Source organism: Homo sapiens, chromosome 11 (assembly GCF_000001405.40).
Source record: "Homo sapiens chromosome 11, GRCh38.p14 Primary Assembly".
Taxonomy (NCBI): domain Eukaryota; kingdom Metazoa; phylum Chordata; class Mammalia; order Primates; family Hominidae; genus Homo; species Homo sapiens.
The window spans coordinates 129,158,059-129,174,531 of NC_000011.10; the positions used below are offsets into that span (position 1 = coordinate 129,158,059).

General features: G+C 36.4%; 1 protein-coding gene across 12 annotated transcripts in view; it reads right to left on the bottom strand.

The window, feature by feature from the left end:
• The window catches only part of ARHGAP32 (Rho GTPase activating protein 32), a 314,573-nt gene that overhangs the window by 192,999 nt on the left and 105,101 nt on the right, over positions 1-16,473 (bottom strand). For 10 of the 12 annotated variants that reach the window (XM_047427929.1, XM_047427927.1, NM_001378025.1 and 7 more), the window contains exon 2: positions 6,261-6,369. In XM_047427929.1, the coding sequence (XP_047283885.1) occupies positions 6,261-6,365 (105 nt within the window). In that variant the 5' untranslated portion in view covers positions 6,366-6,369. Of the gene's footprint in view, positions 1-6,260; positions 6,372-16,473 lie in introns of those variants that run through there. The other 2 variants (XM_047427928.1, XM_011543073.3) reach the window with 2 other exon arrangements.

The window sequence follows — 16,473 nt, forward strand, 5'->3', positions numbered from 1 at the left end:
AGAACTCCTTAAGGAAGCACTACATATGGAAAGGAAAAACCGGTAGCAGCCACTACAAAAACATACCAAATTGTAAAGACCATCAACACTATGAATAAACTGCATCAACTAACGGGCAAAATAACCAGCTAGCATCATAATGACAGGATCAATTTCGCACATAACAATATTAACCTTAAATGTAAATGGGCTAAATGCCCCAATTAAAAGACACAGACTGGCAAACTGGATAAAGAGTCAAGACTCATCGGGGTGCTGAATTCAGGAGATTCATCTCACATGCGCACATAGGCTCAAAATAAAGGGAAGGAGGAAGATTTACCAAGCAAATGGAAGGCAAAAAAAAAAAAAAAGCAGAGAATGCAATCCTAGTCTCTGATAAAACAGACTGTAAACCACAGAGATCAAAAAAGACAAGAGCTAAAGGGATCAATGTAACAAGAAGAAGCTAACTATCCTAAATATACATGCACCCAATACAGGAGCACTCAGATGCATAGAGCAAGTTTTTAGAGACCTACAAAGAGACTTAGACTCCCACACAATAACAGTGGGAGACTTTAACACTCCACTGTCAATATTAGACAGATCAACAAGACAGAAAATTAACAAGGATATTCAGGACTTGAACCCAGCTCTGGATGAAACAGACCTAATAGACATTTACAGAACTCTCCACTCCCAAATCAACAGACTATACATTCTTCTCAGCACCATATCGCATGTATTCTAAAACTGACCACATAATTGGAAGTAAAACACTCCTCAGCAAATGCAAAAGAATGGAAATCATAACAGTCTCCCAAACAATAGGCAATCAAAATAAAATTCAGGATTAAGAAACTCACTCAAAACCGCACAACTACATGGAAACTGAACAATCTGCACCTGAATGACTACTGGGTAAATAATGCAATTAAGGCAGAAATAAATAAGTTCTTTGAAATCAATGAGAACAAAGACACAACATACCAGAATTTCTGGGACAAGTGAAAGCAGTGTTTAGAGGGAAATTTATTGCATTAATGACCACAGGAGAAAGTGGGAAAGATCTAAAATTGGTACCCTATCATCACAGTTAAAAGAACTAGAGAAGCAAGAGCAAACAAATTCAAGAGCTAACAGAAGACAAGAAATAACTAAGGAGCAGAACTGAAGGAGACAGAGACATGAAAAACCCTTAAAAAAAATCAGTGAATCCAGGAGCTAGTTTCTTGAAAAGATTAGCAAAATGGATAGACTGCTAGCCAGATTAATGAAGAAGAAAAGAGAGAAGAATAAAATAGACACAATAAAAAATGATGAAGGGGATATTAGCACTGATCCCACAGAAATACAAACTACAATCAGAGAATACTGTAAACACCTCTACACAAATAAACTAGAAAATCTAGAAGAAATGGATAAATTCCTGGACACATACACCTTCCCAAACTAGGAAGACACCTTCCTAAACTAGGAAGAAGTCGAATCCCTGAACAGACCAATAACAAGTTCTGAAATTGAGGCAGTAATTAATAGCCTACCTACCAAAAAAAAAAGCCCAGGATCAGACGGATTCACAGCCAAATTCTACTAGAGGTACAAAGAGAAGCTGGTACCATTCCTTCTGAAACTACTCCAAACACCTGAAAAAGAGGGACTCGTCCCTAACTCATTTCATGAGGCCAACATCATCCTGATACCAAAACCTGGCAGAGACACAACAAAAAAACTAAATTTCAGGCCAATATCCCTGATGAACATCAATGTGAAAATCCTCAATAAAATACTGGCACACCAAATCCAGGAGCACATTAAAAAGCTTATCCACCACAATCAAGTCAGCTTCAACCCTGGGATACAAGGCTGGTTCAACATATGAAAATCAATAAGCATAATCCATCATAACAGAACCAATAACAAAACAGAACCAATGACATAAACAGAACTAATGACAAAAACCACAATTATCTCAATAGATGCAGAAAATCCCTTTGATAAAATTCAACACTGCTTCATGCTAAAAACTCTCAATAAACTAGGTATTCATGGAATGTATCTCAAAATAATAAGAGCTATTTATGACAAACCCACAGCCAATATCATACTGAAAGGGCAAAAGCTGGAAGCATTCCCATTGAAAATCAGCACAAGACAAGGATGCCCTCTCTCACCACTCCTATTCAACATAGTACTAGATGTTCTGGCCAGGGAAATCAGGCAAGGGAAAGAAATAAAGGGTATTCAAATAGGAAGAGAGGAAGTCAAATTGTCTCTGTTTGCAGATGACGTGATTGTATATTTAAAAAACCCCATCGTCTCAACCCAAAATCTCCTTAAGCTGATCAGCAACTTCAGCAAAGTCTCAGGATACAAAATTAATGTGCAAAAATCACAAGCATTCCTATACACCAATAATAGACAAACAGAGAGCCAAATCATGAGTGAACTCCCACTCACAATGGCTAAAAGAGAATAAAATACCTAGGATGATAAAATACCTAGGATGATGATACCTATGAGAATAAAATACCTACAATGAGAATAAAATACTTACAAGGGATATGAAGGACCTCTTCAAGGAGAACTACAAACCACTGCTCAATGAAATAAGAGAGGACACAAACAAATAGAAAGATATTCCATGCTCATGGATAGGAAGAATCAATATTGTGAAAATGGCCATACTGCCCAAGGTAATTTATAGATTCAATGCTATCCTCATCAAGCCACCATTGACTTTCTTCACAGAATTAGAAAAAACTACTTTAAATTTCATATGGAACCAAAAAAGAGCCTGCATAGCCAAGATAATCCTAAGCAAAAAGAACAAAGCTGGAGGCATCACGCTACCTGACTTCAAACTACACAAGGCTACAGTAACCAAAACAGCATGGTACTGGTGCCAAAACAGATATATAGACCAATGGTACAGAACAGAAGCCTTAGAAATAACGCCACACATCTACGACCCTCTGATCTTTGACAAACCTGACAAAAACAAGCTATGGGGAAAGGATTCCTTATTTAATAAATAGTGTTACGAAAACTGGATACCCATATGCAGAAAATTGAAACTGGACCCCTTCTTACACCTTATACAAATATTAACTCAAAATGAATTAAAGACTTAAACATAAGACCTAAAACCATAAAAACCCTAGAAGAAAACCTAGGCAATACCATTCAGGACATAGGCATGGGCAAAGACTTCATGACTAAAACACCAAAAGCAATAGCAAAAAAAAAGCCAAAATTGACAAATGGAATCTAATTAAACTAAAGACCTTCTCCACAGCAAAAGAAACTATCATCAGAGTGAACAGGCAACCTACAGAATGGGAGAAAATTTTTGCAATCTATCCATCTGACAAAGGGCTAATATCCAGAATCTACAAGGAACTTAAACAAATTTACAAGAAAAAAAAAACCATCAAAAAGTTAGCAAAGTATATGAACAGACACTTCTCAAAAGAAGACATTTATGTGGCCAACAAACATGAAAAAAGCTCATCAATACTAGTCATCAGAGACATGCAAATCAAAACCACAATGAGATACCACCTCACACTAGTTAGAATGGTGATCATTAAAGTCAGGAAACAACAGATGCTGGAGAGGATGTGGAGAAACAGGAACACTTTTACACTGTTGGTGGGAGTGTAAATTAGTTCAGCCATTGTGGAAGACAGTGCGGCGATTCCTCAAGGATCTAGAACCAGAAATACCATTTGACCCAGCAATCCCATTACTAGGTATATACCCAAAGTATTATAAATCATTCTACTATAAAGACAAATGCACACGTATGCTTACTTCAACACTGTTCACAACAGCAAAGACTTGGAACCAACCCAAATGCCCATCAATGATAGACTGGATAAAGAAAATGTGGCACATATACACCATGGAATACTATGCAGCCATAAAAAAAGATGAGTTCTTGTCCTTTGCAGGGACATGGATGATGCTAGAAACCATCATTCTCAGCAAACTAACACAGGAACAGAAAACCAAACACTGCATGTTCTCACTCACAAGTGTGAGTTGAACAATGAGAACACATGGACACAGTGAGTGGAACATCACACACCGGGGCCTGTCAGGGGGTGGGGGCTAGGGGAAGGATAGCATTAGGAGAAATACCTAATGAAGGTGACAGGTGGATGGGTGCAGCAAACCACCATGGCACATGTATACCTATGTAATAAACCTGCATGTTCTGCACATGTACTCCGGAACTTAAAAGTATAATAATAAAAAAATCTAAAATAAATTACACATAATAATATTTTTAAAATGTTGAGGACATTGGAAGCAAATCAATAGTCACTTAAAAAACAAGGCAAATGATTTCAGTGGTTTTCCTTGACTCTTGGTAAGTCAAAAAATGGAACCAATATTGCTATTGTTGTTGAGGAGTCAATGTTGAGTGTGAAATGACTGAAGAATTAGCTCCTATGAACAGTCAGCATGGGACAACTACAGGCAAGAATATTCTCACATAACTTGAGCAAACATTAATTCAGTAAAACCTGAAGTGGAATCTACTAAGATACATTATAACCAATTTTGGTAAAAATATGTGTGGAATACAAAAAGGCTTTAGATATACATATTTTTGACATTTATTACGGAACACTAAATGACTTTGCTAATCAGTTTTTACTGCAGACTTGATGATATTTCTTGGTGAACTTAATGTACAATTACAAGAGAAAACATAGCTTATATATAAGAAACACTGACGATAAAGTCATCTTAATGACAACTAGTATTCTGAGAATCACAAGTAATCACAAGCTACTGTCCATGCATCCCAAATTATCAAATATTAAAACAAGAAGGGAGATTTCCATTCCCATACAAATGTGTAGTGAATATTTTTTTCTGAGCTCAAACTACAGGTCCAGTAGGGTTTTTCAGATCACATGAAAATGCAAAGTAAATTTCCATACTGCAAATTCCATTTAACTGTGCAACTGAGAACTTCCACCTAATCTTTAATTGGAATTGATTAACTGACAATAACATGCTAAAAGGCAAATATCAAGAAGAGAATCTAACAGAATTCTATAAATGCCTTCCTAGTGACAAATATGTTCAATTAAAATGTTTGTGAATTTATGTCAGTATTTGCTGTGCCTGAGTGAAAGACATTTTCAAAAATGAAGTAAGTAAAATATCATTACAGATCAGCACTGATAGATGAATGTTTCCATTTTATTTTGACAGAGAACACTGACTCTTAACCACAGTTAAGTAAAATGTCCTCTCCCACAAAAGAAGAATTTCTTCATTCTTATTAATAGATCTGTTACAAAAAGTTTTAATAAACTAAATGAGTATCTCAAATGTATTACGTGAAAAACTACACTGCTGATTTTTCCACCTATCCCCCAACAAAAACTGCTTTTCCAGCATCTCAGTACTATAAATTCCATTCTTCAGGTTGACGAAGCCAAAAAACTTGAAGCCATTCTTAATATATCTTCATCTCATACTCTTATTACCCATTCATTGACAACAGCTGTCTTTATCAGTAAAACTATAGCATCTAACCAATTCTCACCATATGTGCTATCATCCTGGTTCAAGCTACCATCACTATTTACCTACTAATTATAACACACAGATTCTCTTTACTTCTTTTGCCTCCTCCTACTCACAGTAACCTGAGACTTCTTTAACATTTTAAGTCAGATTGTGTCACTGCTCAGCCAAAAATCCTCCAATGGTTTCCCATCTCACTAAGCATAAAAAGCAAAAGTCTTCATCAATAAAGTACAAGAAACTGCACGATCTGCTTTCCACCCACCCAAACCACTTCTCTGACCTCATTTCTTTCTCATCCAGTTTCAGCCACACTATCCTATTTGTGTTTCTTCCGACTTGTTCTCTAATCCTATGCCACAGCCTGTAACTTGTTCTTCCATTGCCTAAAATGATGTGTTTCCAGATAAACACACTACTCACTCCCTCACCTCCTTCAGGTCTTTGATCAAACCTCATCTTCCCACAGAGGCCATCTGTGACTACCCTATATAATTAGCACCTATCCTTTCACACTGTATTTTTACCACTCTGTAACCCTATTACTCTGCCCACAGACTCTACGACAGTGCCAAGTATACAGTATTCACTCAATAAATATTTCCTGAATAAATGAACAAAGCAACAAAATTTTTTGTGTAATGTGTCCTCAGTTCCTTTTCCTTATATAAGTGCTATATATACATATATATGTATATATGAACAATTGTATAAAACTGATTTACCATTGCGCTAAGAGTTTCTTCCCAATCAGGCCGCTCTCGAGGGTGTACATTTCTATGTAGCTCTGGAACAAAATCATCTTCTTCAGAATGTACTGAGGACTTCATCTTCCTAGAGATCAAAACACGAAAGATTCTGATAAGAATTTCCAATTCTATGAAAGCCTTCCAATGATCACAATTGAAAGAGCAGAAAAACTACATGTCAGATTTGAAGTTTAGCTAAAAGAGCTTAACTGAATAGCAGTGATCCTTTATTTCTACTCTGGCTTTCAGAGGTCTCTCCTAATGTACCAAACACCTGCTTTTATTCCAGAAGATAAAATAAGGTTTACAGCTAGTTAACCTTTATGGTCCATGGTTATTATATAAAAACTGATTTTTATCAGTTCAACACAATTTGAACCTTGAAAAGATTTGCAACAGCAATTAGTTACTCTGAATCAATATTTACAGAACTGTGCTAAGCATTAGTATCATTTCAGAATAAAGAAAAGATATGGTATTTCTGGTTCCAATCAATGGAGCAGAGTGCAGCAAATAAGCATTTTCAATGAGAACAACTATGAATGTTGGGCAAAACATATAAAACAGCTTGTCTGAAGGCAACAGAAAGCAACCAATACAGATGGGACATCCAGGGCTACAAGCTTTGAGATAAGGAAAGCCCAATCAAGCAATTTCCACATTTAATCCTTCTTTCTGTATAAGATAACTTTTCAAATCAATCATGGGAAATAGAGCCCAAGATAATAACTGTAATCTTAGTGGGATGAGAAGGCAGAGGTTGGAGGCTGGGATTACCAAAGTAGGGAGGAATTCAGGATGCAAAATGCCCCCAAAAAAGACCTAAAGAGAAAGAGCCCAGAAATCTACAGCAAAATTCACCTCAAATTATTAACTGAGTCCTAAGCTTACAAATATGTAGGACAGGATGCCAAGAAACCCAAAACAAACCAAGTAAAGAGGCAAGTAGACATTTTGGCAGCCCATCAATGGTGAGGAGATGGGCTGGCAAGCAAGCACTGCCAAGATGGAGGAGCACTGAAAAACCCCTGAGCTCTTATGTGTGACTCTAAAAAAGCCATGCCTTAAGAGTATGGACAAAATAGCAATAGAAAAATTCTAACAAAGCCCCAAACCAAGCCTTGACAGAATCAGAAGTACGAGAAGAAAAATTAACTGTCTTTGGAGGAAAAAACATTCTCCAGACTCTCTGCAAATCTTTCGTTCACATTATCTAGTATCCAGTAAATATTATGAGGCATGCTTAAAAAAACAAGAACTAGTGAAAATTGAGAAAAAAAATAGTCAAACCAGAAAGACTCACATTTCATTCAGATCTTAGCATTATCAGAAAGAGACTTTAAAATGGCATTTGTGATTTTCTGCCTATGATGCAGAAAGCTGTAAAGAGCATCACCCCTAGCCTAGTAATAATAAAAAAAAAAATAGATAATCTGAAAATCTTAACTTTTCTAGGACACAACAGAAAACTGAGGTCTCAGGGCAACCAACTAGTTTAAACACTATGGAAACACAAGCCTCTCTGAGATTAGATGGATGACAAGCAGTTACTTTTCTGAACACAGTATGGGGAGAAGAGGAATACATAAGAAGAATTTAGTTAAATTTTTATCAAATTGCTAAAAACATTTATGATTTATATGTTCAATTGAATGAAAGTAAAAAATAAGAGAGAAATGATGAATTTCAACAGAGAATTGGAAGCCATAAAATCAAATGTTCATTTTAAAACTGAAAAATACAGTATCTGAAATTAAGAACTAACCAGATACATTTAGTAGAACAATAAACATAGCTAAAGAGAGGGTTAGTGAACTAGAAGATAGTTTAGTAGAAAATATCCACATTGAAGAACACAGAGAAAAAAAGGAACAGAAAATACACAAAATAGTATAAAGGATGAGAGACTTGGTTTAAAAAAAAAGATCTCAAATATGTCTAAATTGATGACAGAGATAAGGGAGATAATTTTTTAAAACAAGAGAATGTGACAAAAGCAATATTTGAAAACAAATGCTAAAAGTTTTCAAAACTGATGAAATCATCAAACTAAAGATTCAAAGAAATTCTATAAACCTCAAGCAGAATTTTTAAAAATTAAAACCATAGGTAAATTACAGTCAAACTGCTAAAAACCAAACACAAAGAGAAATCCTTAAAAGCAGCCAGAGAATTTTTTAAAGTTGACTTCCAATAAGCAATAATTACAATGGGAGAAGACATTTCAATGGAAAAGAGAAAATAATGAAATTAACCTTCAGTGTGCTAAAAGGAAAAAATATTTCCAACCTAGAATCTTCTGCCTCACCAAAGTAACCATTTTGAAAGCAGGTAAAACAAATTATTTACAAATGAAAGCTGAAAAAAACTACCACCAAGAGACTGCAATAAAAGAAATAGTAAAGAGAATTCCTAATTGAAGAAAACTGATTCCAAAACTACAAAAACACATGAAAAGAATAAAGCACAAAAGTGGGGAAATATAAGTAAATACTGTATAAACATAAAAATAACGTCTTATGAAGTTAACAATATATACACATTAAAAACACAAAGGATAAGAAATGTACATTCAGTCAAACAGTTTAGGATTTCTCTATTGGTTGAGAAGTGAGAAAAGCTCTATTTTATGGAATACTGTATGTAAGTCAAATATATGTTGCAGTCTCTATAGTGAACACTAGAAGAACGAGAAATAAATGTATAACTAAAAAGCTGATAGAGGAAAAGATTTTTGAAAAATAAAACATACATATTAATCTAAGAGAAGGCAGGAAATAAAGAATAAGAGAAGAAATAATAAAACAAGGCAAATAAAAACAAATATTAAAATGGTAAACTTAAATTCAAGCACATTAATAATTTGGAAAGCAAACAGACTAGCTGGGAAAGATACGGAGAAATCACACCCCTCATTCATTATTAGAAGGAATGTAAAATGGCACAGCCACTGTGGAAAAGACTGGCAGTTTCTCAAAATGTTAAAACAGAGAATTACCAAATGACCAAGCAATTCTACTCCTGGTATTTAATCAAGAGAAATAAAAACACGTCTACCAAGAACTTGTACATGAATATTCATAGCAATATTATTCATAATAGCCAAAAAGTAGGGACAATCAAAATGCCCAGCAACTGAAGGATAAATAAGCAAAATGCACTAGGTACACATAATAAAATATTATTCAGTCATTAAAAAAGAATGAAGTGCTGATTCATGCTACCACAGGGATAAACATTGAAAACATTATGCTAAATAAAATAAGTCAGAGGCAAAAGACCACAAATCATATAATTCTCTATATATGAAATTTTCAGAATAGTCAAGCCCATAGAGACAAAAATTATATTAGTTGTTTCCAGAGGCTAAGGAGATGGAAACATGGAGAGTTCTACTAATAGGTGAGGGATTTCAGGTGAGGGATTTCTTTCTCAAATGTTCTAGAATTAGATAACAGTGGTTTTCGTATAACTTCATGAATATATTAAAAACCACTGAATTGTACACTTTAAAAGTGAATCACATGGCATGTGAATTCTTTTAGTTAAAAAAAGTAAATGGACTTAAAGATCCCTATTAAAATACAAAGACTATAAGCAGGGATTTAAAAACCAACAACTGCTGGGTGCAGTGGCTCACACCTATAATCCTAGCACTTCAAGAGGCCAAGGTGGGCATATTACTTGTGCCCAGAAGTTCAAGACCAGACTGGGCAAGACAGTTGGACCCCATCTGTAAAAAAAAATACAAAAATTAGCCAGGTGAAATGGTATACACCTGTGGTCCCAGCTTCTCCACAGGCTGAGGTGAGAAGATCACCTGAGCCCAGGATGTCGAGGCTGCAGTGAGCCATGTTCACACCACTGTACTCCAGCCTGGGTGACAGAAAAGCAACTTGTCTCAAAATAAAAAGCAATAACTATATCCTAAGAGACATACTTTAAATATAACAACACCAAAAGGTAGAAAATGGAAGGATTACAAAAACTGATACCATGTAAACACTAGCCAAAGAAGGCTAGCGTAGCTATATTACATCAGGCAAAGTAGACCTTAAGCACAAGGTATTACTAGAAATAAAGGGAGACGTTTCATAAAAGCATCAAATTAACAGGTTAACACAATTTATATGCAATAAGTTGTAAACAAAATTTGTATGCAAAAAATAACAGCTTCAAAATACATAAAGTTGAAAGAACTAAAAAACAGATAAATCCACTATCACCGTTGTAGATTTTAGCAAATCCCTCTCAATGGCTGATAGAATAAGCAGACAAAACTGTAAGTATATGACTTGAACAATTCAATTTTCCAATGTGAACTAACACAGAACACTAAACCCAACAACTACAAAACTCATTTTTTCTTTCACATTCTTTTCAAGCATATATGAAACATTTACAAATAGACTAAATGCTAGAAGACAAAGTCTCAACAAATTAAAAAAATTTAAATCATGAATCACGTTTTATAACCACCGCAGAACTGCACTAAAAAGCAATGACTGAAAGATAACTAGAAATTCCTCTAAATGTTTGGAAATAAAGAAACACAATACTCAATAACTCATAAATCAAACATAAAAATCACAATGGAAATTAGAAAGTCTTTTTATGTGAATGATAATGAAAATACAATAGATGAAAATGTGTGGGATACAACTAAAGAGGTATTTAGCAAAATTCATAGCTCTAAATGCATGTTACTGGAAATTAGACAAGTTGAAAAATTACTACTTCTAAGCTTCTATCACAAGAAGCTAGAAAAAGAATAGTAAATTAATTCAAGGAAAGTATTTAAAAATGTTTAAATAACAAATCAATAAAATAGAAAGTAAATGCATAAAAAAGAAAACAAAGCCAAAGGTTGATTCTTTAAAAGATTAATAAAATGAACAATCCCTAGAATAAGTCTGACCAATAAAAAAATGGAGAATCTACAATATAGATAATAAAAAGGGAGCCATAAACAGAAAGCCTGTGAACATTAAAAAGATTCTAAGGCTGGGCTGGGCATGGTGGCTCAAGGCTGTAATCCCAGCACTTTGGGAGGCTGAGGCGGGTGGATCACGAGGTCAGGAGATCAAGACCATCCTGCCTAATACGGTGAAACCCCGTCTCTACTAAAACTACAAAAAATTAGCTGGGCGTGGTGGCGGGCGCCTATAGTCCCAGCTACTCAGGAGGCTGAGGCAGGAGAATGGCGTGAACCCGGGAGGTGAAGCTTTGCAGTGAGCTGAGATCGCACCACTGCACTCCAGCCTGGGCCACAGAGTGAGACTCTGTCTCAAAAAAAAAAAAAAAAAAAAAAAAGATTGTGAGGCCATTATGAACATTTTCACTGCAATGCAGTTGAGAATTTAGTTGAAATGAACAAATCCTCTGAGGAACCCAATTCACCAAACCTGAAACAATAAACAAAAAGATTTGTACAGTCCTACAGCTATTAAACAAAATTAATCTGTAAGGAAACTCCAAGCCCAAATGAATCCATTGAACTCTTTTAAACATACAAGCCAAAGATAATAAAAATTGTATAAACATTCTTCCAAAGTATAAAAATAAAAGGAACACTTCCCAATCCATCCAATAAGGCCAAGCCAGAGTTTAGAGCAAAAGCTAGACATTACTAGAAGAGAAAATTATAGGTTGATATAATGAACACAGTTATAAAACTCCTAAACAAAATATAAAATCAAACCCAGTAATATACAAAAACCCAGTAATATACAAAAAGGATAGTGACCGAATGAGTTTTAGTTCAAAATGCAAATTGATTAAACGTTCTAAAATCAAGCCCTATAATTGATCACACTACACTATTAAAGGGAAATATATATATATAATTTCTTTCTTTTTAATTTCTTCAAAAAAAAAAAAAAACGGGATACATATGCAGAATGCGCAGGTTTGTTACATAGGTATACATGTGCCATGGTGGTTTGTGGCATCTATTGACTCGTCCTCTACTTTCCGTCCCCTCCCCTCACCCTCCACCCCACAACTGGCCCCGATCTGTGTTGTTCCCCTCTCTGTGTCCACCTGTTCTCAGTGTTCAACTCCCAATTATGGATGACAACATGCAGTGTTTGGTTTTCTGTTCCTGTGTTAGCTTGCTGAGGATGATGGCTTCCAGCTCTGTCCATGTCCCTGAAAAGGACATGATCTCATTCCTTTTTATGGCTTCATAGTATTCCATGGTGCATATGTACCACATTTTCTTTATCCAGTCTGTCACTGATGGCCATTTGGGTTGGTTCCATGTCTCTGCTGTTGTAAACAGTGCTGCAATAAACATATGTGTGCAAGTGCCTTTATAGTAGAATGATTTATATTCCTTTGGGTAATGGAATTGCTAGGTCAAATGGTATTTCTGGTTCCAGATCGTTGAGGAATTGCCATAGTGTCTTCCACAAGGGTTGAACTAATTTACATTCCCACCAACAGTGTAAAAGTGTTTGTATTTCTCCACAGCCTCGCCAGCATCTATTGTTTCCTGACTTTTTAATAATCGCCATCCTGACTGGCGTGAGATGGTGTCTCACTGTGGTTTTGATTTGCATTTCTCTGATGATCAGTTATGTTGAGCTTCTTTTCATGTTTGTTGGCCACAGAAATGTCTTCCTTTGAGAGGTGTCTGTTCATATCCTTTGCCAACTTTTTGATGGGGTTATTTATCTTTATCTTGTAAATATGTTCGAAGTTCCTTGTAAATGCTGGATATTAGACCTTTGTCAGAAGGGTAGATTGCAAAAATTTTCTCCCATTCTACAGGTTGCCTGTTCACTCTGATGATAAGTTTCTTTGGCTGTGGAGATGGTATTTTGTTTAATTAGATCCCATTTGTCAATTTTGGCTCTTATTGCAATTGCTTTTGGCATTTTTGTTATGAAGACTTTGCCCATGCCTATGTCCTGAATGGTAATGCCTAGGTTTTCTTCTAGGGTTTTTATGGTTTGGGGTTTTACATTTAAGTCTTTAATCCATCCTGAGTTAATTTTTGTATAAGGTGAAAGGAAGGGGTCCAGGTTCAGTTTTCTGTATATGGCTAGCCAGTTTTCCCAGCACCATTTACTGAATAGGAGATCTCTTTCCCATTGTTTGTTTTTGTCAGGTTTGTCAAAGATCAGAGGGTTGTAGATGTGTGGTGTTATTTCCGAGGTCTCTGTTCTGCTCCATTGGTCTATATGTCTGTTTTGGTACCAGTACCCTGCTGTTTTGGTTACGGTAGCGTTGTAGTATAGTTTGAAGTCAGGTAGCGTGATGCCTCCAGCTTTGTTCTTTTTGCTTAGGATTGTCTTGGCTATATGGGGTCTTCTTTGATTTCATATGAAATTCAAAATAGTTTTTTCTAATTCTGTAAGAATGTCAATGGTAGCTTGATGGGAATAGCACTGAATCTATAAATTACTTCAGGCAGTATGGCCATTTTCACAATACTGATTCTTCCCAACCATGAAGAAGGAATGTTTTTCTATTTGTTTGTGTCATCTCTTATTTCCTTGAGCAGTGGTTTGTAGTTCTCCTTGAAGAGGCCCTTCACATCCCCTGTTAACAGTATTCCTAGGTATTTTATTCTCTTTGTAGCAATTATGAATGTGAGTTCATTCATGATTTGGCTCTCTGCTTGCCTATTGTTGACAAAAAGGAATGCTTGGGATTTTTACACATTGATTTTGTATCCTGAGACTGCTGAAGCTGCTTATCAGTTCAAGGAGTTTTTGGGCTGAGATGACTGGGTTTTCTAAATATAAAATCATGTCATCTGCAAACAGAGACAACTTGACTTCCTCTCTTCCTACCTGAATAACCTTTATTTCTTTCTCTTGCCTGACTTCCCTGGCCAGAACTTCCAATACTATGTTGAATAGGAGTGGTGAGAGAGGGCACCCTTGTCTTGTACTGGTTTTCAAAGTGAATGTTTCCATCTTTTCTCCATTCAATATGATATTGGCTGTGGGTTTGTTATAAATAGCTCTTATTGTTTTGAAATATGTTCCATCAATATCTAGCTTATTGAGAGTTTTTAACGTGAAGGGATGTTGAATTTTATCAAAGGCCTTTTCTGCATCTGTTGAGATAATCATGTGGTTTTGTCTTTGGTTCTGAAGTCTACAGAACTCTCTACCCCAAATCAACAGAATATACATTCTTCTCAGTGCCACATGGCACTTATTCTAAAAACGAACACATAATTGGAAGTAAAACACTCCTCAACAAATGCAAAAGAACTAACTTCACAACAAACAATCTCTCAGACCACAGTGCAATCACATTAGAACTCAAGATTAAGAAACTCACTCAAAAGCACACAATTTCATGGAAATTGAACAACCTGCTCCTGAATGACTCCTGGGGAAATAAAGAAATTAAGGCAGAAATCAGGAAGTTCTTTGAAACAAATGAGAACAAATAGAGACAACATACTAGAATCTCTGGGACACAGCTAAAGCAGTGTTAAGAGGGAAATGTATAGCACTAAATGCCCACATCAGAAAGCAAGAAAGATCTCAAATGGACACCCGAACATCACAATTAAAAGAGCTAAAGGCAAGAGCAAACTAATCCAAAAGCTAGCAAAGCACAAGAAATAACTAAGATCAGAGAAGAAATGAAGGAGATAGAGACATGAAAAACCCTCCAAAAAGAAAAAAAAAAAAATCAACAAATCCAGGGGCTGTTTTTTTGAAAAAACAAACAAACAAACAAACAAACAAAAAACCACTAGCTAGACTAACAAAGAAGAGAGAGAAGAATCAAACAGACACAATAAAAAATGTTTAGGGACACCACTGACCCCACAGAAATACAAACTACCATCAGAGAATACTATAAACATCTCTACACAAATAAACTAGAAAATCTAGAAGAAATGGATAAATTCCTGGATGCATACACCCTACCAAGACTAAATTAGGAAGAAGCTGAATCCCTGAATAGACCAATAACAAGTTCTGAAATTGAGGCAGTAATTAATAGACCAACCAAAAAAAAAAAAAAGAAAAGCCCAGGACCAGACGGATTCACAGCCAAATTTTACCAGAGGTACAAAGAGGAGCTGGTACCATTCCTTCTGAAACCACTCCAAACAATTAAAAAGGAGGGACTCCTCCCTAACTCATTTTATGAAGCCAGCATCATCCTGATACCAAAACCAGAAAGAAACACAACCAAAAAAGAAAACTTCAGGCCAATACCTCTGATGAACATCGATGCAAAAATCCTCAATAAAATACTGGAAAATTGAATCCAGCAGCACATCAAAGAGCTTATCCACCACGATCAAGTCGGCTTCATTCCTGGGATGCAAGTCTGGTTCAACATATGCAAATCAATAAATGTAATCCATCACATATGATTTCAATAGGTGAAATTTAATACCTATTCATAAATTCTTTAAAATATTTTAATGAAAATTATTGAAAAACACAAATACAGCTAAGCATCACACTTAACATTGAAATACTAAATGATTTCCCACTGAGATCATGAACAAATCAAGAATGTTGTCTTCTATTCAACACTGTACTTGAGGTCTTATTCACTTGGGGAAAAAAAGCAAGAAAAAATGTAAAAATTGGAAAAGAAAGAGGAGCCAAGATGGCCAAATAGGAACAGCTCCGGTCCACAGCTCCCAGCGTGAGCGACGCAGAAGACGGGTGATTTCTGCATTTCCATCTGAGGTACCAGGTTCATCTCACTAGGGAGTGCCAGACAGTGGGCACAGGACAGTGGGTGCGCGCACCGTGCACAAGCCAAAGCAGGGCGAGGCATTGCCTCACTCGGGAAGCGCAGAGGGTCAGGGAGTTCCCTTTCCTAGTCAAAGAAAGGGGTGACAGACGGCACCTGGAAAATCGGTTCACTCCCACCCAAATACTGCGCTTTTCCGACGGGCCTAAAAAATGGCGCACCAGGACATTATATCCCGCACATGGCTCGGAGGGTCCTACGCCCACGGAGTCTCGCTGATTGCTAGCACAGCAGTCTGAGATCAAACTGCTAGGCGGCAGCAAGGCTCGGGGAGGGGCGCCCACCATTGCCCAGGCTTGCTTAGGTAAACAAAGCAGCCAGAAAGCTCGAACTGGGTAGAGCCCACCACAGCTCAAGGAGGCCTGCCTGCCTCTGTAGGCTCCACCTCTGGGGGCAGGGCACAGACAAATAAAAAGACAGCAGTAACCTCTGCAGACTT